The 27,924-nt window shown below is 34.9% G+C and overlaps 1 protein-coding gene across 4 annotated transcripts in view; it reads right to left on the bottom strand.

Moving 5' to 3' along the window:
- Positions 1-27,924, bottom strand: part of EPC2 (enhancer of polycomb 2) — a 142,819-nt gene that overhangs the window by 38,502 nt on the left and 76,393 nt on the right. For 2 of the 4 annotated variants that reach the window (NM_015630.4, XM_011510941.3), the window contains exon 3: positions 5,301-5,446. In NM_015630.4, the coding sequence (NP_056445.3) occupies positions 5,301-5,446 (146 nt within the window). Of the gene's footprint in view, positions 1-5,300; positions 5,447-8,416; positions 9,209-12,961; positions 13,209-27,924 lie in introns of those variants that run through there. The other 2 variants (XM_011510943.4, XM_047443897.1) reach the window with 2 other exon arrangements.

Below are 27,924 nucleotides of genomic sequence, written 5' to 3'. Positions count from 1 at the left end.
ATGGTACATTAGAGGACCAGAAAGAAGTTCAGCATGGCTGGAATCAGGTGGTTCAGATTTCACTTTATAGACAGTGGAAGCCAATGAAGTTTTTCTTTTTTAAGAAGATGAATTTTTAATAAAATAGCTAGTGGCAGAATAGCAGTGGTCCAGCTGAAAAATAATAAAAATAAGGGAACATGGTACAGGCAACAAATACAGGTTGAGCAGCTCTAATCTATAAATCTGAAATGCTCCAAAATCAATTTTTTTTTGAGTCCCAACATGATGCTACAAGTGTAAAATTCCACACCTGACGTTATTTGACAGATCACAATCAAAATGCAGTCAAAACTTTGTTTCATTCACAAAATTATTTAAAATATTGTAAAAAAATTACCTTCAGACTGTGTGTATAAAGTATATATGAAACATAAATACATTTCATGTTTACAGTTGGGTTCCATCCCCAAATAATCTCATTATATATCTGTAAATATTCCAAAATGTGAAATAATCTAAAACCCAAAACACTTCTGGTCCCAAACATTTTGGATAAGGTATACTCAACCTGTGTAACATTGTGGAACAAAAAACTGGTTTGATTTAGTGATGTTTGGGATGATTTTAAAGAAGTCAGCACTAAAGTGCAAACTGGCCAACTAGAAGGAAGATGAAAATGATATCATTAATTAAGAAAGAGAGTATATTAGTCTGTTCTTGCATTGCTATAAAGAACTACCTAAGACTGGGTAATTTATAAAGAAAAGAGGTTTAATTGGCTCATGGTGCTGCGGGCTGTACAGGTAGCATGGCTGGGGAGGCCTCAAGAAATTTATAGTCATGGGAGAAGGCGAAAGGGAAGCAGGCACATCTTATGTGGTGGGAGCAGAAGAAAGAGAGAGAAGGGGGAGGTGCTATACACTTAAATATTCTTGTGAGAACAAGTTTGTGAAACAATCTTGTGAATCGATCTTGTAAAACAATGTTGTGAGATCTTGTGAGAACTCACTATCATGACAACAGCAAGGGGAAAATCCACTCTCACGATCCAATCATCTCCACCAGGCCCTCCACAAACACTGGAGATCACAATTCCACATGATATTTGAGCAGGGACACAAATCCAAACCATATCAGAGAGCAAAACTGGGGGAGGCAAAGGAGGTCTGGAGATGTTAAATTTGAAATACTTGCTTAGGTGGAAAGGTTCCACTAGAAATCCAGCTCTGGAGCATTTGGGAACCAGCAAAAAACTACTAGCAGCTTAAGATAAATGAAAAAATGCAGGGGACAGATAACAAAGGAAATATCAACACTGAAGATAAAGAGGAGATGAAGAAAGAAGACAATAATCAGGAAAATGTCCTGGTCAACATCATTCAATACTGCAGGGACATTAAGTAGGATACAAGTTGAAAAGAGGTCCTGATGACAATTAGGAGACCACTGGTAACCTTAAACACTGCAATTTCAGTAAAGTGAAATGGATTGTGATGTGGGTAAAAGGTAAACATAAGAAGCACCAAGTATAGCCAAACTTCTGAAAATTTAACTATGACAAAGAAAGAAGAGACAATGGGTGGTAGTTTGCTGAGAAGGATGGGGTCAAATGAAAGGGTTCTCCTGGAAATAGGGACTTGGGCACCTTTTGGGGCAGAAAGAGAAAGATTGAAGAAATGAGAGAGGAGATAAGTGAAAATAAAATATTCGAGGACTATACAGGTACACAAGGAAGAGTTAGGAAGGGTTTAGGATTATGCTTCTACAGGAGTAAAAGGTAGTATGGAGGTAGAAAGGAAGGAAAATGATGGAAAATGATTACCCAGGGTGTTAGAAGGAGAGTTCTGTTTTGGGCAGGAGTGGTCTTTCTATGGGAATGTGTGATAAGTGGAGAGCAGTGAAAGGTCAATAGGGTATATAGAAGGTTAATCAGTAACTAAAAATCGGGTGTTCAATAGTTTAGGAATGAGATAAGGGTTATACATTAAAACACTGAGGGTTTTCAAAAGAAAAATTAAAAACACATTTCTTGGAAAGTGTTTTATTATTTATTTTAGAGAAAATCCTATGAAAGAGAATGCCATTTAAGATGGCTTGTGATTTTTAAAAATTAACTTTAATCTCAAATATTTAGAAAACTTACAAGAATAAAACATTTCAAAGAACACTGTATATCCATTTACACCAAGACTCATGTATTGTTAGCTTTTGTATTTGCTTTAACATTTGTGTGCATTTAAGCTCTAATTGTGTGTGTGTGTGTATACAATTTTTTTTCTGATCCTTTTGAGGGTGGGAAGTTACACATATCATGGCTCTTTACTCCTAGATACTTAAGTGTATATTTCTTAAGAATAGGGATATTTTCTTTCATAATCACAGCCTTCAACTTTAGTAAATTTAACATTGAAAATATTATGTAATCTACTCTCTATATTCCAATATTGTCAATTGACTCAAAAATAATCTTCATAGCATCCCCCTACTCCCATCCACTACAAGATTCAGTCTCAGGTTAGGTACTGCAATTAGTTGTCTGTCACACTGGAAAGAAGATACTAAATCAAACAATTTGATAACATTCAATTCATGGGTTTGTCAAATCCCTTTCCTTCATTCAGTGCTTTGATAAAACCTGACAAACCCTGAAGTGAATTAGTTATCAATGAAGGAAAGGGATAAAAAATGGATGGATCTGAGTTTGGGAGTTACTGAAGAGATAAGGATTACAAGATTACATAGGGTAAGACAGTAAGTTCAGTTCCCAAAAGGATAAACTTGAGGGGACTGTGGACCATCCAGGTGAAGATGTTAATAGGCAAAACCAAAAGGGGGAAAAAAATCCTGGAGTTTGAGAAAGAGGTCAAGGCCAAAGGTAATACATTATTATATCTATAAAAATACTCACTGAGCTGATATTACACAAAAATATGTAGGATAAGAAAACCAAGAACAGAATTTCAAGAAACCCTGATGTTTACAGGAGTTGAATGAAAGGGATCAAGCAAAAGAAAGAAGGAATGGTCATGAGAAACAATAAAACCAGAGGGAATAAACTGTATTTTTATTTTTTAAAAAAAGGTGAAGACAGCTCCAAGACATGAGAGCACAAATCAAATAAACAGATTGGGACTGAAAATAATTACAGCATTTGACAACAGGAGTTTTCAATCATGACTTCATTGAAATAGTCTCCCAGAATAACAGAGGCAGGTTTGCCTAAGTCTATCTTTTGTCGTTTTCTGTTAACCTAATAAATAGTAGTTTAACTACAAACTTGATTCCTTGTCCCAGGACCTAGTACTATGCCAGCCCCCATAAAGGAAAAGTAAAGAGATCCATAAATTAACAGATCAGGGAATGGAATGAAGATAGCCCTTTGTTATCTTTAATCCTTGATTCTAATGCAGGACCATTACTTTGTTCCAATGACAAAACCTCCACTTTTACTTTCCATTGCTGAAAGTAGATGCTATCATGCTCTGTGCCTAGCTACTTGTTTCACAGCCTAGAAGCTTGTCCCTGAGCAAAGAGAACTAAAATAGGATGGGGCTGATTATATGTGCACAGTTAACTGTATTGCTTACATGTTTTTTTGTTTATCCTGTCTCCAATTGGATAATACGCTGAACAAGGGCAGAATTTTTGTCATCTGTCTTACTCACTGCTATCACCTGCCTTGTCCACCTGGACACTAAATATTGCTTACTGACTCAAAGAAAGCAAATTACAGAACAGAGAGCTGAAGGCTTCTGATGGTATCATCTCAGCCACTATGAGTAGTTTCTGAGCAATCATAGAAAATCATAAACATACCAAAAGGCTGATCCAGCCTAGGATTGCTAAGAAAATTTACATCTAAAGAAAAACTGAAACTTTACCTGATGCCTGCGATTAAAATCCCAGGAAAACTGTAAGTCACCAATTATAATGAACATCAAGTTGGTACTTTTTTAGAACTCCCAACAAAAAACCAAGTAAGACAATCTCTCAAAAACCAGTAACATGAATTTTACAAAATGCAATTTTCAAAATGTATTTCTTTGAATAGTACAGTGGATATTATTTTTCATCAAAATGGTGCGGGGGGGGGGGGCAAACTGATAGGCTAAATATGCAGCAAAGTCACTTGCCAAAGGAAAATGCTCTGAAGAGCTTGTAATGCCTTAGAGATTTAAAAGATTTAAGTTGTAGGGTAAAATAATAAATTTGTATGGGTAAACTAATGAAAAGTTTTAACAATCTACTGTAAAAAGTTTATTTGCAACTCTAACTTCTTAGAATGTTAATAACAATTAGCACATTAATATACCACACAGGTACACCAAAACTTATGTTTAAAAAGTTTATTTTAAAAATCTAATTATAGTATCAACACATAGCTCATGATAAATTTGGAAAACATAGAAAAATAGGATAAAGAACATAAAAATCACCAATTGCAGCACCCAAATATAACCACTGTTAGCATTTTGTTGTAAACTTCCTTATTCTTTTGCTTTCTATGCACATGTATAAATATAAATGATTAAACAAACCTCAAAGTTTTCCACATAAAGAGTTCTGTATCCTGTTTTCTAAATCTGATATTATATAATGTACAATTTCCTATGGCACTAGACATCCTTCAAAATCATGATTTTAATGCCTGTGTTATAGTCTACCTCAGAGACATCTTATTTATTCTGAACATTCTTGCTCAAAAATCACTGACATTTTTTCTAATTATTTTTCTTGTGAACAATTCCAAAAGATGAGATTATTAAATCAAAGTGCATAAATATTTTTAGGCTCCTGACTTACACTGCTTAACTGCTTTCCAGAAAGACAGTGCCATTTTAAATTACCTGTGCCATATATAAAATACCTCACTAAAGAATATTCTTTTGTAAATAATTTTTCCCTCACTGAACTGAAATAATGTATAAGTAATTAAAATTAAAATCCATTTAAAATGATGAGTACCTTAATATCTGAGCAAGATTTGACATAAGATGACTGCCTTAAAGATCCAAGCAAGCAAATTTAGTTATGGAAGCACCAATACTAGTCATATGGAAAGGATCAATAAAATATTATAACATTGTGACTAGTATTATTTTTATCCAAACAGGAAAACAGTCAGAACAGTACTCTTCATACTCTTATTCAAAGAAATTGTGCTTAAGTACTCTCCACTCACGGAACATTGTAAACAGAAATTCCAGGATGTCAGGAAAAGAAATCCAAGAAACAGTAAAATGCAACACACTCAGGTCTTATAAAGGTGCAAATTGGGTTAACTAGAAGATAAGAGACATCTTTACATGGTACAGTACCTGATTAGAACTGGCTTTTTCAAGTCTGTCAATCATAATTTCAAATTGCAAAGGCTTAATTTCCATCTTTCTGTTAAGTCTATTTAATAAAGTCTCATCTTCTGAATCCATATCATAATCTGGTTGCTCGTTGTCTAGATTAAAAGCTAGAAAAGAAAGAAAAATTCTTCAAACTCAGGAGAAATTATGAAATTATACATTGTTCATCATATTTGACTGCAGACTACCTCTAAATTACAGTGCACTGACTAAAGGGGAGCTCAGGAGAAGGTATCCACAATTAATTTCAGAGACTTACTGCACAGTGGAAGAAAAAATAAAATTTTGCTTTATATATGATTTAAACAGTAAAAACGTTAAGAAATATCTTATTTTGAAAATGTATAACAGAATATAAAATAGCAGCTATAAAAAAGATGACATATACATGTTGACATGGTAGTTTGGTGGCATAATGAGAAACTTTGCCAAAATTAAGAATTGAGAAACAAGCTCAAGAACAGAGTATAATGGAAATGATGTTTCAAATTACTGAGGATAAAACAGGTATCTAATGAAAAAAAAAGAGTGTTGGCATAACAGACTAGTTATCTTAAAAAAATTAAGCTGAATTCCTACCCTACTTCTAACACCAGTAAGTGACATATTCAACAAAATTTAATGGTAAAAAGTAAAACACATAAAAATACTAGAGGAACATACAGGGTGGGAATGTTGCACGGGCAGCAACTCAGAAGCCATAACACTGATTAAAAATAGATTGATTTGACTATATAAACTTTTTAAATTTCTACTTAGAAAACTTTAAGTCAAGACAAAGAACAAAAAGAAAAAGATGTACTATATAAATAAAAGGCTGATTTTCTTAAAGATTTCTTGCAAATTAGAAAAAAACTAGTAACTCAACAAATATTGGCAAATGATGTGAATTGGTATTTTAGTAGAGAATAAATATCAATGATTTTTCTTTTTTTTTTTTTTTTGAGGCAAGGTCTCATTTTGTCTGTTGCCCAGGCTATAGTGCAATGGCACGATCTTGCTCACTGCAATCTCTGTCTCCTGGGCTCAAGCAATTCTCCCACCTCAGTCTCCCAAGTAAAGTTGGGACTACAGGTGTGCACAACCACACCCAGCTAATATTGCATTTTTTGTAGGGATGGGGTTTCCCCATGTTGCCCAGGCTTGTCTGGAACTCCTGGGCTCAAGCGATCTGTCTGCAACTCCTGGGCTCAAGCGATCTGTCTGCCTCGGCCTTCCAAACTGCTGGGATTACAGGCATGAGCCACCACACACCCAGCCAAGAATAAATGTCAATGACTTTTAAACATAAAAAAAGTGTAACTTCAGTGATAGATTGATAAATATACAATAATAAGACAATAGGTTTCACTCAGCAAAGATCTAAAACTTGATAATATGCTACTCTAGAAAGAGCAGCAGAAGAAAGCCCTTTCAAACCATGTGTGTAGGCAATTATAAACTGGTATTTAGTTTCATTAAAAATGTATCCTCTTGAACTTGGCAACTCTATTTCTAGGATTCATCTTACATATAAACATACACAGAAACAAAGATATGTACACAGGGTATTAGTTATGACACTGCAAGAAGTAAAAAATACAAAACAAACAATGTGTGTAGGATTAGATAAATGATAGTTTACACATACATGGAATATATAGACTGAAGGTCTGAAAAAGACATTGACCCATGTATACTGACATAGAATGAAACTGATCTTCATAAATATTAAATGAAAAAAGCTAAGGGGAGGAATAGTATATATAGCGCACTAATATATGTGTTTTAAAAAGGACAAGGTTGGATATATATGCATGTGTTTGTAAATGCACAGGATATTTTTGAAAGAATACTTAAAACTAGTAATCTCTATTTCTGGTTAAGGGGACTACAAAAGGAGGGGTTCACAGATGGTGAAGCAATTTTCTTTGTTCCCATTTGTATTGTTTGACATTTTAAGCATGTACATGTATAAGTTATTAAACTATAAAGGGTAAAAAAACTAAAGTGCCACAAATTATGTGTTGAAATTACATGACAAGATTTAGAGTAAGGCAGTAAAAGAGATATCAATAACCAACAGGTTGGTTATATAGAGGCTGTCTGTGCAGCGATGTGTAAATGAATATCCTACATTCATACCACGTGAAATGTCCTGGCATTCTCAGATTCAGCATGACTTTCTTAAAGGTACTAACAAAGGAATAGGAACAGATGTATATAATTATCTAATTTTAGTAAAATCAGCCTCCTACTACAGATAGTACTGATGAAGTTAAAATATCTAAAGGCATTTGCTTTATAATCAGTAAAGGACTACATCTCAAAAATCTAGACTTCAGTTCATTGCTTAAGAAATTTTTACCACTAGATAACAATAATAAAAACAAAAATAAATGTTAGCTAGCACTTATAAACTTATATAGTACTATGGGCAAGGTAGTACTCAAAGTGCTTTAAACATACTAAATTAACTGTCACAACCATCCTATGTGGTAGGCAGTATTTCATCTCTCAATGAGTCCCACATTCTAAAATTTGTGTTATTGTATTTAAGTATGCGATATAATCTAAAGTTAAATCAGAGGAGTTACAGCTATTGGTGAACTAATGATAAAAACTATTTTGTAAGTATGATTCATTTAAAATATTCTTGAGAATAAAATGCATTTTTCTCTTATCTTTTATGTAAAACCTTGTCTTTATTATATGATAATCAATAATTCAAAAGCATGCTTTTAAAAAGTCAATCTAATCTGCATCAAAGTCAATGACAAAATGATACAGAGCTCATAAACTACATAGATTACTAAAAATTACTCTTCCTTTCACAAAGGATGTTGTATTTGTAAATGCACATAATGACAGTCCAATGATCTGCCTTAATCCACATACTAACAGCAAACAGTCAATAAAATCAGGTAGTTGATACAGCTAGAAGACATTTTAGAGAAAGATTTAGGAAAGTGTGGAGCAGAGTTAACACAATATACTGAATTTATAAGTTAAACAGAAGTTTTCAAAAGTTCAAGGGCAAGGCTATATATACAAATTTTGCATGACCATCTTTTATACACCTACCTAATCTTACTCACCTCTTGTTCCTCCACCTCCTATCTGCTCTATCTTCTTATTCTATTCTTACAAAAGCCAGCACCCCAGCTTGTGAGGCAGGGGAAGGAACAAGAAAAGCTGGGAAATAGTTTAGAAAAATTAATAGTGAGAATTGATAGGAGATCTGACAATGTGTTAAATCAGAACCAGGGCAAAGACTTGCACTAGCAGTCTAAGTATTCTATACTACCATTTCTCTTTCACTCAAAACCCATATAAGAATCATTATAGATTTTGGAGATTTTGTTGCTTTTAAACCAGGTACAGGTGCCTGCCTGTACCTCTCTTTACCTCAGGTTCTATTATCTCCTCTACCAGACAGAGGTAAAAATTCTTTAAAAGCAGTGATTACTTCAGTCATACCTGTATACTCCCTACATGGCACTTAGAGAAAAAAAAAAAAAGAGGACATACTAAAAGCTACTGAATAAAAATAGCATTTCTAAAATATATAAATATAAGAAGAGATTCTTTTAAACTACAAGCAGAATATTTTAAGTTGATTGATACCTCACTTTTTGAAACCCAGATAGCTTTCTCCTGCTAAAAAATCCACTCTTACAAATAGTGGGTTAGTTTCATAGGTCAGTCAACCAAACAAAACAGATAAAACAATACCTCCCACCTCAACATAAAGAAGGGGGCAGACAGGACACTTGACAACTTCTTGATGTAGTACAGCAACAGAATTAAGATATTGACAAAGCTAATAAGGGCATGTGTCTGTGTGTACATGGAAGACTTCCTGTAGTGAAGTTAACCGAGCAGTAAACCAAAAAAAAAAAAAAAAAAAAAAAAAGAAGAAGAAGAAAAGAAAAGGAAGAAAGAAAAGAAAAATAAGCGAATTTAAGAGGGTGCATGACTACTATTAGAAGAAGAAAGCAAGTAGGAAGGAAAGTAGATGAGAAGTTCCTTGCAGTAGCCATCAGGTAGCTACCACTGCTCAGGAAAATTTGGTTGCTCTCTGGCAAAAAGAGCAACAGCTTCTGTGTAGGTAAGGAAGTGGGTATAACCTGCTGTTTGAATATATAAAGCATTCACACATTGACTGGTTATAGCTTACAAAATATATATAGTTAGTCTAAAATTAGTTGGTAAAGCAAATATTACTTCTAATTAAAAGTACCTTTCAAAGTCCCTTAGTACTTGGCCATATTCATATGTAAGTATCTAATAAGCACAGCTATTTAGTGGAATGAAAATACAGAGAACCCAGGAGAAGAAACGGTATGAGGAAAATTTTCCAGGGCCAAAAAATGGCAAGATATTTTCAGGTTAAAGGGGGCTTACCAAGCATGGTATAAAATGAGTAGCATGCAATTCAATGTGGCACATAATGATGGGCCAGTTACTGCCCATTACTTCATAATACTGTTATGAATATGAATATGATTGCTATATAATACCTGTTATATAGAACTGTTTAGGGGAGACATTTATTCTCCATATTTCCATTCAAATCTCCAGGAGGGAAAAGTTTAGAAAGCACACTTTCAGCTTCTTTTCACTTGTTCTTTCTCCCCTCAGCCAAGGAAGGAGTGACGAACTGTGAACCTGGGAGAAGGACCTATCCGGTCAACAGCTTCTGGGTACATGTTCTCCAGTGGTTCTTCCTTCCTTCATAGTGGCAGCATTCTAGTCAGCCCTCCACTACATGGTAAGCACAGGGGCTGACTCTGCTCCTATTAGGGGGAGACCTGCTCTCTCAGTGACCAACCAGCATTAGAGTATGTTTGTCTAATTCAGGGGTTAAATAATAGAATGTCCATGAAGGCCAAATATCTCACCTTCCACACCACTTTTATTAGTAATAAAGCTGAAATTTTATGTCCACGTATTTATCAATTAGTTTCAAAGCAGAAGAGAAAGGAATGTTATTTCTTGCCTTCCTAAAGCCTCTAAATTATAAACTCACTAATTTATTTTTATAAATGGCTACACTTACTCTGACTCCAAAACATTCTATTTTCTATACTCAGTCTCCATCATATGTCCTTTTGACAATACACACTCAACACCCAGAATTCATGTCACTTACCCTCTTTTCTCTGGTTATTTACACAACTAGGATGCAACTGCACATATAGCATAAGTACCCTCTAATAGACTGAATGTAAACCAATCAAAAGTACTTTAAATTTAAGGCTTTATAATAACAACAAAAACCACACTATAATTTTTCTAACTTAATTCTGTGAATTTAGAACTCTTTATGTAAACCCATCTCTGTATTTATAGATGTTAATCACTGTGTGTGTCTGTCCCTAGACTCTCCTCAGCCATGTTTGACAGGTGACACTCCAATCCACAGGGTATCTGTGGGATCACAGATGAGCAACTGGCTCTCAAACAGCCAGGGTTTAAAGTGTACCTGGGCCAAATTTCCTCTAACAGAAATGTGAGCACAGAGATAGCTTCTGGTTAAATAAAGCAAAATGAACACATACTTATCTCAAAATCCCATTAAAACAAAAGCAAAGGAGTTTTTGTTGTTGTTGTTGTTGTTGTTTCAAATGGCATAAATCTTTACGGGTAACAGAAACAAAGTGAGAACCATCAATTAAATTTTCAGAGTTATAAATGGCATGTATTAGCAGACAAAGAGAATGCTAAAATATAAAATGGCTGCAGGGGACAGACAACAGGAAGCAGGACCCACTCCCAACCCCTGCCTTGGCCCCATCTAAAGACTCAGAGCAGGCTTCTCCAGCTCATGGCCCACGGGCCGCATGCAGCCCAGGACAGCTTTGAATGTGGCTCAACACAGATTCGTAAACTTTCTTAAAACATTATGAGATTTTTTTGCACTTTTTTTTTTTTAAGCTCATCGGCTATCATTACTGTTAGTGTATTTTATGTGTAACCCAAGGCAATTCTTCTTCTTCCAATGTGGCCCAGGGAAGCCAAATGATTGGACATCCCTGAGAGAGCTGAAATCAACAGTTACTCTTTCCCTCATTCAGTGTAGCTATGCAACTATTTTTCCTTCCAAATAGTATCAGACTGAAGGTTTGACCTACAAACGTTGCTTCAGAGAGCCTGTGGACTCTGAAGCACTAGGCACGCTGAGGGCAAGTACAAAGCTCCATACCAAAGGAGAAAGAGAGTAGTGGAAGTCTACAAATGGAACCATGGAATCTTCCACTACAGCCATCCCACTCCTCCATCTCCAGCAACCCCCTCAGCCATAAATACAAAAATACTGTCAGCCACCCAGGAATAAGACTGTGTGGGGAGGCAGGGATAGAGGTAATAACTAGACCTCTTTGAATATATTTAATTTTATAGATAGGACTTTTAGTATCATGTAAATATTTTACATAATTACAAAATGAAATAACGTGTTGAAAAAAATCCCTAAAATTACAAAGTAAATGGAACAAGTAAAGCCAATTGTCACTTGGGTTCTACTGAAAGTGCCTTTAAGATACTGTAAAGTGACTGTACATTTCTAGTGGGAATACCCTAAGAAATAAAAGCAAAAATCAATCGATCAACAAACAAAAAAACCTGAAATTAGTTTTATTTCTTTCTTGAGACATGGTCTTGCTCTGCTGCCCAGGCTGGAGTGCAATGGCACAATCTTGGCTGCAGTCTTGATCTCCTGGGCTCAAGTCATTCTCCCACTTCAGCTTCCCAAGTAGCTAGGACTACAGATGCATGCCACCAGGCGTGGCTAATTTTTTTTTTTTTTTTGTAGAAATGGGGTTTCACCATGTTCCCCAGGCTGCTTTTGAACTCCTAGGCTGAAGCGATCTGCCTGCCTCAGCCTCCCAAACTGCTGAAACTACAGGCATGAGCCATCGTGTGCGGCCCTGAAACTTTTTTGGTAAAATTATATTGTTGGTGAAAGAGTTGGTATTATTATTCTGAGACTACTGTGACAAAACATGGGGATTATGCAAATGCCCTTAAGAACTGATATTAAAAAAAAGTAAGTGTGGAAAAAAAGTAACTGTAGAAAAAAGTGTGGAAGGCTAAAACCTTTAGTCTTGAATTAGAGAAATCGTAATATAAATTCATGATGTATTTTATCTCAAAATTTTTTAAGTGCATATTTCATAGGTCAGGCCTACTAATCAATCTTAGAGACATGGCCAACCCAGTAGTAATGAACACCCCTAGGACCCAACTTACAGTCTCCAAATACAATTTCCCACTAAAAGAAACAAGAGCACCCTGTGGAAATGAATGACTTCAGATCTGGGCCAGGAAAACATGTAAGGTAACCCTACCACATTTTAGTTTTCTTGCTTTCTGGTATAATATTATCACGTCAAAAAAAACCTCAAGAGCAAACCTGAATAGGTTCCTACTGCCCAAAAACAGCAATAAGGATAATAAATTCAATGGATTAAAATATAATACAAATGTATAAATCCATGATCCATAATGACTTTAAAACAAAATAAACATCCTCATAATCATTTCTGGAGAGTACTAAAAAATCAGTCTCCATCAGGAAGTATATAATTTTTCATTGTTTCTCTTCTTTTGTGATGTCAGCAACCATTAATGACAATTACCTTGATGCACTAATTCATTAGGGGTTACAAAATAATTTTTTATCATTCCTGCTTGATTTACATTAGCTGGAATACTTCTACAAAGAGAACCTTCCTCTTTCTCAATTATTCAGAGATCCTGAAATACAGTACATAGAAAAGAAAGATAAATGCTTGATTCCTGATTAAAAGAATCTTAAGAGACTGATTAACCAGCTATAACACATGGAAATTTTCTGGATCCCAATTCAAAAGTATCAGCTGTTAAAAAAAAGTAAGATAAATGAGATCACTTATAAGACAGTCAAGAAATATGCACACTGATTAAATATTTGATGATATTAAGAAAACGATGTTTTTCTTTTAAGGAGTGATATGATATTATTCTAACAGTATTATTACATATTAATAGTATTACTATAATACTTTTAGATAATATTATAACTATGCTTTAATACCCCCAGAGCAAATAATTTTGGGATGGCTATAAAATCATGGAGGTGGAAGAAAAGGTATAAGTATAGAGAAACAATATTGGCCAGTAGTATATGACCGTTCATTATTATTATTTCTACTTTTGAATGTTAAAATTTTTCCATAAAAGTTTTTAAAAAGATAAATATGTAGAATATATAAAGAGTCTCTTTAAAAATTCAGTAAGAAAATGACCCAGAGAAAAATGGACCCAAAGATAGGAAAAGGTAATCTACATAAAAATGTTTAACTTCTCTTTTGTGATTGATAAGAGGCAAATTTAAATCAACAAATACCAATTCATACCCATCAAACTGACAAAAATTGTAAAGTTTCACAGTAACAAGTGTTGATAAAAATATGAGACAACAAGAACTCTCATACACTACTGGTGAAAATATAAACTGATATCAGTTTGAAGAACAATTCTGCAGTATCTAAAGTTAAACATGTACTTTTTATAAGACCCAGCAATTCCACTTATAGGCCCACAACCTACCTAGAAAAGCTCTCATAAATGTGGACAAGATGACACACACAAGGCCATTCATAACATTATATTCATATAAGCAAAAACATGTCCATCAATAAGAATAGGAAAACTGAGATATATTTGTACAAAATATTTATGAAACGGAAACTATGTTTACATAAAAACATGCACACAAATGTTCATAGCAACTTTATTCATAATAGCCAAAAATTAGAAACAATTCAAATGTCCTTCAATGATAAAAAAAAAACTGTAGAACATGAAATTATACTCAGCAATAAATAAGATCAAACTACTGACACATGCAACAACTTGGATAATCTCAATGGAATTAGGCTGAGTTAAAAAAAAAAAAAAGAAATCAATTCCAAAAAGTTATATACATACTGTAGATTTCACTTACATAACATTCCTTGAAATGACAAAATAATAGAGATGGATAACAGATTAGTTGCTATAAAACAAGGGCAATAAATGCACCTATCTCCAAAGATTCTTGTAGAAATTAAATGAAATAATTTGTGCATATTACACTGCCCCCTACAAAGTATGTGTTCAATAAAGGCAAGCAATTATTATTACTGAACTCCATTACTATACCCTATTAGTAGATCAAGACTATCCTCTAATTTAGCCAGAAGTGAAAGTCAAGTACTATAGAATTTTATAGGTCTTTTTAATATTAACGTTCTTAATAATCGTTGTATACAGAAATCATGGTTTTTAGTTTAAATAATTTGAAGTCTCAACTATGAATAACTGGAAATCATAAAAGTGTATTGCAAAAAAAAAAGTACTTATTTCTGCCTCTCTGAAGGTTAACACTTCCCATGTATGAGCTGCTACATCTATTTCTCTGGCTTATTTTTTTAAAGATTAATTTGTACCCAATGTGCTTTTGATTTATAAAACTTAAAGTCACTAGGGCTTCAATGGGGAAACATTTCAAATTAATTCATAGAAAAAAAAAGACGGGGATAACATGTATCCAACCATGGTTACATGTAGGAATAATTTTTTCTATTATTCTGTGAGTCCATATATATAAAATTCTAATTTAAAGCAAAAAAGAAGTAATAAACAACCAGGCATGGGGACTTGCTAAGTAAAAGACAAGTGATATCACAAATCATTTCTTTTCCTATATGTTTTCCATTTTCTTGGAAAAGAAAAGTGATTCTAAGCTACTTTCCAGTGGATTCTAATTATTTCTTTGGTTAAAACAGTCTAGCCCAAGGAATGGCAAACTATGGTCTGTGAGACAAGTCTGGCCTGCAGCTTGTTTTTGGTAAGGCTGTGAAAAGGTAAAACAAAATGAACAAACAGATTTTTACATTTTTAATGGATAATTTTAAAAGTAATAATAAAAAGGGTCAGGCACGGTGGCTCACGGCTGTAATCCCAGGACTTTGGGAGGTTATGGTGGAGGATTGCTTGAGCCCAGGAGTTCAAGACCAGCCTGGACAACATGGTGAAACTCCATCACTACAAAAAAACAGCTGGGGGCAGTGGCGTTAAGCCTGTAGTACCAGCTACCCGGGAGGCTGAGCTGGGAGGATGGCTGGAGCCCAGGAGCTCAAGGATGCAGTGAGCTATGATGGCGGCACTGCACTCCCGCCTGGGTGACAGAGTGAGACCCTGTATCAAAAAAAAAAAAAAAAAAAAAAAAAAAAAAAAAAAATCCAGAGAGAGAAAGAAAAGAGAAAGGTAATAATAAAAAGGAATAGGAGAAAAGGAGAAGAATATGTGATAGAGATCAATAGTGGCCTCCCAGAACCCAATATATTTACTAACTAGCCCTTTACACAAAAAAGATTTGCTCATCCCTAGTTTAAGTTCATTAGGAAAAGTAAAGTATTTCTGAGAAACTGGGAATGTGAATGATCAGCAAAGGCTACTAAGGAAGTACAATTTTCAAGATTTCACTCTTTGTGGTATGGTTTCCTCTAGGCCCTCTCTCCAGCTTCATCATCCATATACAGAGAAAACAATCTTATGTGATATTATCAAGAGATACTGTTTGAAATACTCTTAGGGATGGGAGCTAACGGCAAGAAATCTATTATTCTTTAAAAAATAAAATCTTCCTTAAGGATTGACTAGCTCTAAAAAGTTCAAAAAAGTTCAAGTCTGAATTTGGCCAGTAATTTGTGTCTGGGTCCCTAAAGTTAGTTTCTTGTTTTTTATTAACTGGAAAAAAAAAAAAAAAAAAAAGAGCTATTCACTTAATATTTAGAATTGACCATTATAATTTGATTTACATTATTATGAAAAATACAAATATGTCTGCTATAACATGATAGATATTCCTAAAAAAATCCTTTATATGCAAAATTGCATACAAAAATACAGGTTTATAAAAAAACTTATCATTTTGTTATCAGAGTCCAAACAAACTATAAATGCTATTTTAGATGACCACATAAGCCACTCAGAGTGGTTGGCTACTACCTCAAGGGATATTAAAAATAGACAAAAATGGCCGGGCACAGTGGCTCATGCCTGTAATCCCAGCACTTTGGAAGGCCAAGGTGGGCGGATCACCTGAGATCAGGAGTTCAAGACCAGCCTGGCAAACATGGTGAAATCCCATCTTTACAAAAAATACAAAAATTAGCCGGGCACAGTAGCGCGCACCTATAGTCTCAGCTACTTGGGAGGCTGAGGCAGGAGAATCGCTTGAACCTGTGAGGCGGAGGCTGCAGTGAGCCGAGATCGTGCCACTGCACTCTAGCCTACGCAACAGAATGAGACTACATCTCAAAAAAAAAAAAAAAAAGACAAAAATAACAGAATGGAATCACTGACTTGTGGGTGCTGAGACAAACAGACTGCAATAAAGCACTGTTTGACGGCATCAGGAGAAAATGCAACCAGTCACTAGCTAAGAGCTGTGCAAGACCGCGGGTGCACCTCTCTGGGAAAGGAACCCCTTAGGTACAGGCAGTCATTTTTAATTTTCTTAGAATAATAGAACTGAAAGAACTCTTTGCCCCTTCCCACAGAAGATTTTACTTTATTTCCTGATTCTAGCTCCCCTTGGTGAGGAAAAACCATAAGAGAGCCTGGACAACTTCCATGTAGTACTGACATTCACTCTTTTTTATCAATTGTTACAAAAGACTGCAAATTCCCTGTGGTAGCTTTTTGTAAATAAATGAGATACTGTTTATAAATCTTACCAATTAGTAAATGAACAATGAGCTCAGTACTTTTCCCACTATACCACACAGAAGCTAAATTAAACCTTTCTAATCATAACAGCAGTAAGGAAAAATTCTTTGGACTGTCAAGGGGAGCAAAGATACAGATAAATCAAAAGATTATTTTTGTTAGACTTATACATTTAAGCTTTCCAACATTTATCTATGAATTATCAATGGTGGTGTTTTTTAATGTAAAGAGAAGCAATATCCATGTTTATACAAAGCCCCTACTTTCATGCATCTGTAAATTTCTGGCCGGGGGCAGTGGCTCATGCCTGTAATCCCAGCACTTTGGGAGGCTGAGGCAGGCGGATCACCTGAAGTAAGGAGTTCGAGATCAGCCTCGTCAACATGGTAAACCCTGTCTCTACTAAAAATACAAAAATTAGCTGGGTGTGGTGGTGGGCCTCTGTAATCCCAGCTATTCGGGAAGCTGAGACCGGAGAATGGCTTGAACCCCGGAGGCGGAGGTTGTAGTGAGCGGAGACTGTGCCATTGCACTCCAGCCTGGGTGACAAGAGTGAAACTCCACCTCAAAAAAAAAATCCTAAATATTTACTTCTGGAAATTATTTGTCAATATCTAAACCTCTTGATAGCAGGCAACTAAATAAGACAGAAACACAAGCACACCTTGTTTCTAAAGGCGATTATTTTGAGTATTAACAGCACTCTGCAAAAGTGTCATTCCCTTAAAATCTCTTTGGTCTATCCTCTTGCAACTCTGTATTTCCTTTCTTATATAACTTTTCAAAACTATTTTTACCACTCCAATGAATCCAGTAACAACCAACACTGACTGTACCTCAAGTACAACATGTATAACAGTATCCCTTCTAAATTAGGTTAGGTACTAATACTAAATGGCAAAGAGAAAGTAGATGCAAGGGTATTCTAAACAGAGCAGCAGGAACAGACACGAAAGCAGAGAGGATATCCTTAACTGCAAGAGATATAAATTATCAAAAACAAGACTGGATAAAAGCTATATGATACAAATCCATTTTCAAGCAGAACAAATATTCAGGACCATATGTTCAATGAAGTTATATGCACAAATATAAAACGTAGATTTAAAGAATGCAGGGTTGAATAGTTTACAAGTCTAGCAATAGTGCTGTTGTATATCTAACTTTCAGTTAAATGGATCCTAGTATATACTAAAATGGCCTCTCAGTAGGTAGACATATGAACTAAGAAGTATTTAAATAAAACCATATTTTCCTCAGAGCCTGTATACTTCTCAACCCTAAGGAGATCATGGGATCTGACAGACTCAGATGCCCCTCCTTGATGTAAGTATCACGAAAGCCTGTAAGCCAGTGTTTCTCAAACTCTAGCACTCACCAGAATCATCTGAAGGGTTTGTTAAAACAGGTTACTGGGCCTGATCATCAGTTTCTGATCCAGTAGATTTGGGGTGGGGCTTGTTAATGTGCATTTCTAACGTGTTCCCAAGTGATGTTGGACCATGTTTAGAGAAATACTGCTCTAAACCCACAGTCTTTGCTCTAAAACATTATAAACTTTACTTGTGGTAACTGTGAAATACACTGAACTTTAAAAATCTGTAAACCTTTAAGGTTCTCAGGCTTCAATAACCTTAAAGACAGCTAATGAAAAGCAAATGTATCTAAAAGTTCAGAAGCAACCCAAGCACCATAATCTCCTTTGCTTGGAGCTCTCCAAAGTTCTGACCTAGCTTCCAACTTTAGCTTAAACATGTACTAAAAGACCCTGAATGCTGATACCTAGGACTCTTCATGTTGAATCTTCCAGACTTCCTAGAATTATAAAACTTGGCTGCAGATCATATGCACAACTCCCACCTCTACCAATTGACAACTCAAGAAAATGAAGTGCAGAAAAGTTCAAAGCCATATTCCACAAGGTAATGCAATCCAAGTCTACTGACTAATTTAAAATTTTTAAAACTCCAGGTTCATGCCATAATCAAGATTATTCCTAGTCTTTTTGCTGACTAGCTAACTACACACTACACTCCTCTCCTCCTTTGCAAAATTCACATTTTATATTAAGTAACAAATATTACTGGCCAAAATTAGTGGTAATGATGACAACTATGAGAACCACAGGCCATAAGAATGGCAACTGGATACTGCACATCTTTCAGGGAAGGATTTTCATAATTACAGAGAGGACAGAGCCTAATGACAGCATCTAGGGGATACAAGAATATATATTTTTTAATGATTTTAAAAGGCAGTTGTGTAAAGATAATGACCCTTTTATTCTCTCTCTAACTATGCATTTTCTTAGGTTTTTTCTCATTCATCAGATTTTCCATCCCTTGTTGCTTTATAATAACCAAATGGAAAACTGGGTGAAGGACAGTAATAGTTTAGAAGGTAAAAATGCAAATGGCTCCTAAACAGATGAAAAGATACCCAACTTCATTCTTAACATGAAATCTAAACTAAAACAATCCTGAGAGAAATTCAAGTAAAGTCTGGGGTTTAGTTAATAATAATGTACTTCTGACACAGGTAATGCAAGATGTTACATTAAAGGAAACTAAAACTGGATGAGAGGTATAGATACAGGAACTATCTATACTACCTTTGCCAACTCTTCAGTAAATCTAAAAATTTTCCGAAATAAAAGGCTTATTAAAAAAAATACTACTCTGAGGTATGTAATTTTTCACCTGTCAGATTAGCAAAATTTCAAAACTAAAAGCAGTCTTTTGACAGGGTGTAGGAAAACAAGCACTCCTGTACAAGCTAGTACAAAATGGTATAACTCCTACAGAGTGATTTGGCAACTTCTGTAACAGATATCATCACATCTCTATGAAATTCTATTTGTTCACAGTTATCCATTATTCACCATGAACTATTTATAATATGTAACAAAAAGAAAACAATCCAAGTTTGCTTTTTTTTTTTTTTTTTTTTTTTTTTGAGATGGAGTTTCGCTCTGTCGCCCAGGCTGGAGTACAGTGGCGCGATCTTGCCTCACTGCAAACTCCGCCTCCCGGGTTCACACCATTCTCCTGCCTCAGCCTCCCGAGTAGCTGGGACTACAGGCGCCCACCACCATGCCCGGCTAATTTTTTGTATTTTTAGTAGAGACGGGGTTTCACTGTGTTAGCCAGGATGGTCTCGATCTCCCGACCTCGTGATCTGCCCGCCTTGGCCTCCCAAAATGCTGGGATTACAGGCGTGAGCTACCGTGCCCGGCCTTTTTTTAAAAAAAAAAAAAAGAGGAAAGGCCTCACTTTGTCACCCAGGATGCAGTGCAGTAGCACGATCATGGCTCACTGTAACCTTGACCTCTTAGGCTCAAGTGATCCTCCCACCTCAGCCTCCCAAATAGCTGGGACTACAGACATAACACCACCACACCTGGCTAACTTTTTAGTTTATGTAGATGGGGTCTCACTATATTGACCAGTCTGGTCTTGAACTTCTGGCCTCAAGTCTAGGCCTCCCAAAGTGCTGGGATTTCAAATATGAGCAATGTGCCCAGCCTTAAGTTCGTTTTTTCTAGGAAACTGGATAATAAACGAGCACACCCAAACAATGGACTATTATGCAGTGATTAAAAAAAAAAAGAATGAGAACATATGTACATATTAATATAGGATAATTTTGAGACTATATTATTAAGCAAAACAAACAAACAAACAAAAAAAGCAAGGTGCTACAAAAAGCATACAGATGTAAGATAAGGTTTAAAAATACACTTTCTTGGCAGGGTGTGGTGGCTCATGCCTGTAATCCTAGTATTTTGGGAGGCCGAGGTGGGAGACTGCTTGAGCCTAGGAATTCAAAACCAGCCTGAGCAACATGGTAAGCTCCTGTGATTCTAGCTGTTGGGGAGGCTCAGGCAGGAGGATCACTTGAGTGCAGAAAGTTGAGGCTGCAGTGAGCCATGAGCATGCCACTGAACTCCAGCCTAGGTGATGAAGTGAGTGAGACTCTGTCTCAAAAGAGAAAAGAAAAGAATACAAATTCCTATGTGCTTGAAACCCTAAAAGAATACATGAACTTATGGTCACTTGTGGTCACTTATAAAGGAGGGGTGGTTGGAGTGGAGAGTGTACAGAAGTGAGTTTATTTTTATACACTTTTCTTTTGAAATCATTTGAATGCATTATCTTTTGAAATAAAACAAGATCATGTTATTTTGTGAATCTAAAGATAATTTTGTGTTTTAAAAAATATTCTGGATCAGTGATCCCTCTGTTATCATCTGAGATTCTCCCACATTTTCTGTTCAAACCCAGTATCTTTCTCACTCACTCTTAACAAGCATAGAATGAAGGCAAAAAGTTTTATTCAGACATCTGTGTTCAGGCAATACCTTAGCTTAACCAGTAAAAACTAACATTAAAATAACATTATATATACAAAAAAAGAAATTCCACTAAGAACATCTAATGGCATAAAATAATAAATATGTCATAGAAAGTGAACATATCTTCATAGGCCACTACATGGTAAGGAACTTGAAAAGTTAAATAGAGTATTTATTTTTTAACAGAGTTGTTGTTCTAATGTTAGTAAGGAAGTGAATGGACAAAGATATAAACTCAGTATACAGAAGACATCAGAAATATTTGAAACAGTAGTCTTTGGATTTTAAAACAAATTATAAAGCTATAGTGATTTAAACAGTATGGAATTGGCATAAAGACAGACATACAGACCAATGGAACAGAACAGAAACCCCAGAAATAAACCCTGACATATATGGTCAAATGATTGACAAGGATACCAAGACTACACAATGGGAAAAGGACAGTCTCTTCAATAAATGAGCTGGTGAAACTGAATATTCACATGCAAAATAATGAAATTGGATCCTTACCTTATAGCATATATTTAAAAATCAACCCCAAATGGATTAAATACCTAAATGTAAGACACAAAATTATAAAACTCCTAGAAGAAAATACAGGAAGAAAGACTTCATGACATTGAATTTGACAGTGATTTCTTGGATATGACATTAAAGCACCAGTAACAAAGAAAAAACAGACAAATGGCATTACATCAAACTAAAAAACCTCTTCAGGGCAAAGGAAACAATCAACAGACTGCAAAGGCAACCTTATGGAAAGGGAAAAATATCTGCAAACCATGTAGTGGATAAACAATTAATATCCAAATATATAAAGAACTCCTAAAACTCAAAAACAAAAAAACGCAAAAAAAAAAAAAACAAAAAACAAAACAAAAAAAAAACCCAAAAGCAAAAATTTAAAGATTTTTTAAATGGGCAAAGGATCTAAAGAGACAGGTCTTCAAAGAAGATATACATACTCAACTCTTTTGAGGTATGAAAAAAAAATTCTTTAAGTATTAAAAAACAAACAAAAAAACACAATGATATACAAATGGCCGGCATACAAAAAGATGCTCAACATCAGTAATCATCAGGGAAATGCAAATCAAAACCACAATGAGACATCAACTCCTACCTGTTAGGATGGCCACTATCAAACTAACAGAAAATTACACATGTTGGCAAGGATTTGGAGAAAGTGAAACTGTGCACTGCTGGTAAGAATGTAACTACTGTACTACTGTCGCTGGTACAGCCCTTATGAAAAACAGGAGTAGTTTCTGAAAAAATTTAAAATAGAACTACTATATGATCCAGCAATCTCACTTCTGTGTATATATCCAAAAGAACTGAAAACAAGACCTTGAAGAGACGTGTCCACATCCATGTTCATTACAGCATTATTCACAATGGCTAAGAAGTGGAAGCAACCCAAATGTCCATGGACCAATTAATTGATAAAAACAGTATGGTACATACACACAATAGACTATTAACAGTCTTAAAGGAAATCTTGTTTACAACATGGATGAATCTTGAGGACGTTATGCTAAATGAAATAAGCCAGTCACAAAAAGACAAATACTGCATGATTCCACATATATGGTGTATCCAAAGTAGTCAAATTCTTAAAAACAAAAAGCAGAATGGTGGTTGCCAGCGGCTGGAGGGTAACAGGAGGTTGTTCAATGGGTATACATAGTTTAAGTTTTACAAAATGTAAAAGTTTTAGAGACCTGTTGTACAACAATGTGACATAGTTAAACTATATACCTGTAATGTACACTTAAAAATTGTTAAGAGGGTAAATTTATGTTATGTATATTTTACCACAATAAAGCATAAAAAAAACCACATGTGAAACTGAATCATGTCATGAGGAAACAAGTATACCCAAATTGAGGAACTTTTGAGAAAATAATTGGCTTGTAATCTAAAAATGTCAGTGGCATGAAGGACAAAAAGACTCAGCAGTAGACTGAAGAGACATGGTAAGTAAAGGCAATGCATTATTTGGGATTTTTCTGCACTGCAAAGGACATTTTTCGGACAATTATTAAATTATGCATGAGGTCAACAGATTACTGTATTGTATCAATGACAACTGACTGATTTTGATAACAATGCTGTGGTTATATAAAAGAATGTCTGTGTTTTAAAAAACCATACATTGAAGTACTCAGAAGTAAAGAAGCATAACATTTACAACTTACTCTAAAAGGGTTCTGAATGAAAATAATGAGGGTGAGGAGAAAGAGAGGCTGACAGAGAGAGAAGTGACAGAGAAAGAGTTAAAAAAACAGAAAGCAAATATTGTTAAGTGTTAACATTTAATGAATCATGGAGAACAGTAGATAGAATTCATTATATTATTCTTGAAACTTCTCTATAAACTGGAAATAAGGCCAAAATTTTAAAATTTAATTAAAATAGTCTCAAAATAAAAAGTAAAACAAAATGTTTAAACACAACTTTCTCAGAACCTATCTCTTGTATTCTAATATAAATCTATGCCAACTCTAAGACATAAAGATTCTTAAAGATTGAATTCTATATTCCAAAAAATTAGAAAATTCATCGATATTTCAATTTCTCTTAACACTATATACCAAATACTACTAGAACAAGGCCAAAGTAATCAAAGAGATGAAAAATATTTCCTGCCCATAACCATCTAATAATAAAGGTGAATTTGCAGCTAGGGTCTCTACTCCTTAACTATAACCTTATTCCTCCAGTGCCATCCATGTTCGCTTCAAAACAGCCTATCTGACATCATAATTCTAGCTCCTTCAGAAATGGTTCCAATAGTCAGTGGACTAAAATTCCTAAACTCCCAATATGACATCTCTATCAACAGTTCCTGCTTCAATATCATCAATGACTAAAAATTCACTAGAAACATCTCCCAAAAAAGTGGCCAAATACTGTCAGTTACTATACAAAAAATAAAATTCTTTACTGAGGTTGTAGATAAAAAATGACTTTATATCATGAAAACTGAGCTTATACATTGTGGGCCAACTAACACTGGTGAATGAATAAGCTACAATATTCTCCAATTCTTTAAACTATTGCCTTAAATTGTTTATATTTCAGAACACAATATAAAACCTACTCATTTTGCTTTCATTGAGGTGAAGATAAAACGAGACTTTAAAAAAAATTAATTTGTTATTGGATACAAAGTTACAGCTAGATAGGTGGCATAAGTCTTAGTGTTCTACAGCATTGATGGATAACTGAATGTTCCCCACAAAGAAATGATAAATGTTTGAGATGATGGACATGCTATTATCCTGATCTGGTCACTAACATTTATATGTACTACATCACAATGTAGCCCATAAATATGTACATTATATCTATTAAAAGCTGTAAAAGTTAAAAATTATAAAACAAAAATATTGAGAAAAATTTATTTTTAAAAAAATAAATGAATAAGTTATCTTAATCCTTAGGGAGCATACATATTCCAATAAAAATAAAGAAAGCATTTGAGGAACTGCTCTCTGAAACTGTCTTCAGAATAAGATTATAAATTGTATAAAAGAGTCCTACATTTTACAGTCAAAAACTTCTTTAAAACCAAAATAACATCTAAGTTATTGACCATACTTGGCTCTGAATGGGTTTTCTGAAATTAAAGTCCATTCTGTCAAAGACAAATATTACTACTGAAGACATTTTTAAAACACTAAAAATTCCACAAGAGATTTTTAAAGTTTTTATAGAACTCTAAGAATTAAAAAAACAAAGCTACAAATGCAAGCAGTGTTATCAATGTTAAACCCTCTAAAAAGTTATAAATCCAATTGTCTCAATCAGAAGAAATTTAAGTATATCAACCTCAAAAATTATGCAACCAATAAAAAATTACAAAGACGACGATATGGAAAAAAGTCTAAACATCGAGTGGAAAAAAAGCTGAAAACAAAATTGTAAGTAAGACTTCTGGTTTCCAGGTAGGCACGTAAGAAACTTAGAAGAAACTTAGAAGTTGCCACCCCATCTTAACAACATATAAAAGGCTGAACAAACTGAAAATAAACAACACTTAAATCTGTGAGGTCACAAGGCAAAAGCATCGCACCCAAAACTGGAGACAGAGGTGAATACACAGAATCACAACTTACGGGAACAGAAACCCACTAGCAGAAACCCTCCTGAAAACCAATGGGGGAGAGGGAGGGCTGGAAAACCTAAACTGTAATTGACTCAGTATGGCCAATTCTGAGAGATTAAAAATCCAGGCATCTCAGTCACTGGGAAGCCCTTACACCTTTGTGAGTATCACCTTTCAAGAACTCAACCATGTTCTCACAGTGAATACTTAGGGAAAAAATATCTTTGTGCTTCCAGAAAGGTAAGCATTTTGAAATGTGCCAGAGCATTCTGTTTTTAACAATGCCTGCAATCAAGAGAAACAATTTTATCAGAGTATAACCTGCTTTTTTTCTTAAACTTTTATTTTAGGTTCAGGGCCTCAATGTGTAGGTTATTAGGTAAATTGCATCTCATGGGGGTTTGATATACAGACTATTTTATCCCCCAGGTAATAAACATAGAACCCAATAGATAGTTTTTCGATCCTTTTCCTCCTTCCATCCTCCACCCTGAAGGAGGTCCCAGTGTCTCTTGTTCCCTTCTTTGTATCCATGTGTTCTCAATGTTTATTTAGGTCCCACTTATAAGTGAGAACATGCAGTATTCCGTTTTCTGTTCCTGTCTTAGTTTACTTAGGATAATGGCCTTAGCTCCATCCATGTTGCTGCAAAGGACATGATCTCGTTCTTTTATGACTATGTATATATGTATCGTGTATATGTACCACATTTTCTTTATCCAGTCTACTGTTGATAGGCATTTAGGTTGACTCCACGTCTTTGCTGCTGTGAATAGTGCTGCAATGAACATACATGTGGATGTGTCTTTATGGCAGAATGATTATAATTCTTTGGGTATATACCCAATAATGGGATTGCTGGGTTGAATGGTAATTCTGCTTTGAGTTCTTTGAGAAATCGCTACGCTGCTTCCACAATGGCTGAACTAATTTACATTCCTACCCGCAGTGCATGAGCATTCCCTCTTCTCTGCAACCTCACCAGCATCTGTTACTTTTTGACTTTTTAATAACAGCTTTTCTGACTGCTGTTAGATGCTACCTCATTGTGGTTTTGATTTCCATTTCTCTAATGATTAGTGATGCATTTTTTCATATGCTTGTTAGCTGTGTGAATGTCTTCTGTTGGGTTTTATCAAAGCCTATCAGACCTGGGGGAAGGAAAAAGATGAGTCCAGCTGCCTCTAGTCTTCCATGCAGGAGAAGAGAAATACCCAACTCCAGCCCCCTTTAGACAGCCTGTCCCACCCTAAGGGGGGAAAAACTGAGAAGCACTGGTGAAGTTCACAGTCCAGAGACACAGGCTCACCAAAAGACAGACCTCATCATGAAACTATCAAATCTCACCCCACAAAACACACCATAAAACCGCATCATTAAAGTCCTGTATTTCTGCAGTTCCCTTTACCCAGTTACATCATGTCCACCTTTCAAGAAAAATTATAAGACATACTAAGCAGCTAAGCAAACATCAGAATCAGAGTCAGATATGAAAAGAATGCTGTACTTTTCCAACCAGGAATTTCAGAAAACTATAAGGCTTTAATGGAAAAAACAGACAACATGCAAAAACAGATGAATAATATAAGAAGAGAGATGAGAATTCTGAAAAAAAAAAAAAAAAAGAAATCAAAACAGAAAAAGAAACAAAGATACAAATTACTATTTAATATAATAGAGATGCATCTGAAGGGCTCACTAGTAGACTGGACACAGCTGACAGAACAATCTTGGAGCCTGGTAATATGATATGACAATAGGAACTTCCAAGACTGAAAAGCAAGGCAAAAAAAAAAAAAAAAAGAATAAAACAGAATACTACTAAATGTATAAATATGCATAATGCAAATTCCAAGAAAGGAACACAAGCAACATGTGAAGCAACAATGACTGAGAATTTCTCCAAATTAATGTCAGGCATCAAACCACAGATTGAGGAAGCTCAAACACCACCAAGCAGGATAAAAGCCAAAACAAAAATAAACAAAACCACCCTATAGTTAGGCATATGATATTCAAACATCAGAAAATCAAAGGTAAAGAAAAAACCTTGAAAGAAGCCAAAGGGGAAAAAACACCTTAGCTACAAAGGAGCAAAGATAAGATCACATCAGATATTCCTCAGAAATCATGGAAGTAAGAACAGCATGGAGTGAAATATTTCATGTGTTGAGTTAAAAAAAAAAACCCAACAACCTACAAACCTAAAATTCTGCACTCTGTGAAAATACCCTTCAAAAGTGAAGGAGAAATAAAAACTTTCTCAGACAAATAAAAATTGAGGACTTTGTTGCCAGTAGACCTGCCTTATAAGAAATCTTAAAAGTAGTACTTTTGAGAGGAGGAAAATGATATAGGTTAGAAACTCAGAT

This window comes from Homo sapiens, chromosome 2 (genome assembly GCF_000001405.40).
Source record: "Homo sapiens chromosome 2, GRCh38.p14 Primary Assembly".
NCBI classification, from domain to species: Eukaryota; Metazoa; Chordata; class Mammalia; order Primates; family Hominidae; genus Homo; species Homo sapiens.
The sequence above is the reverse complement of the archived record's forward strand: the minus strand, read 5'-3'. Positions and strand labels throughout refer to the sequence as shown.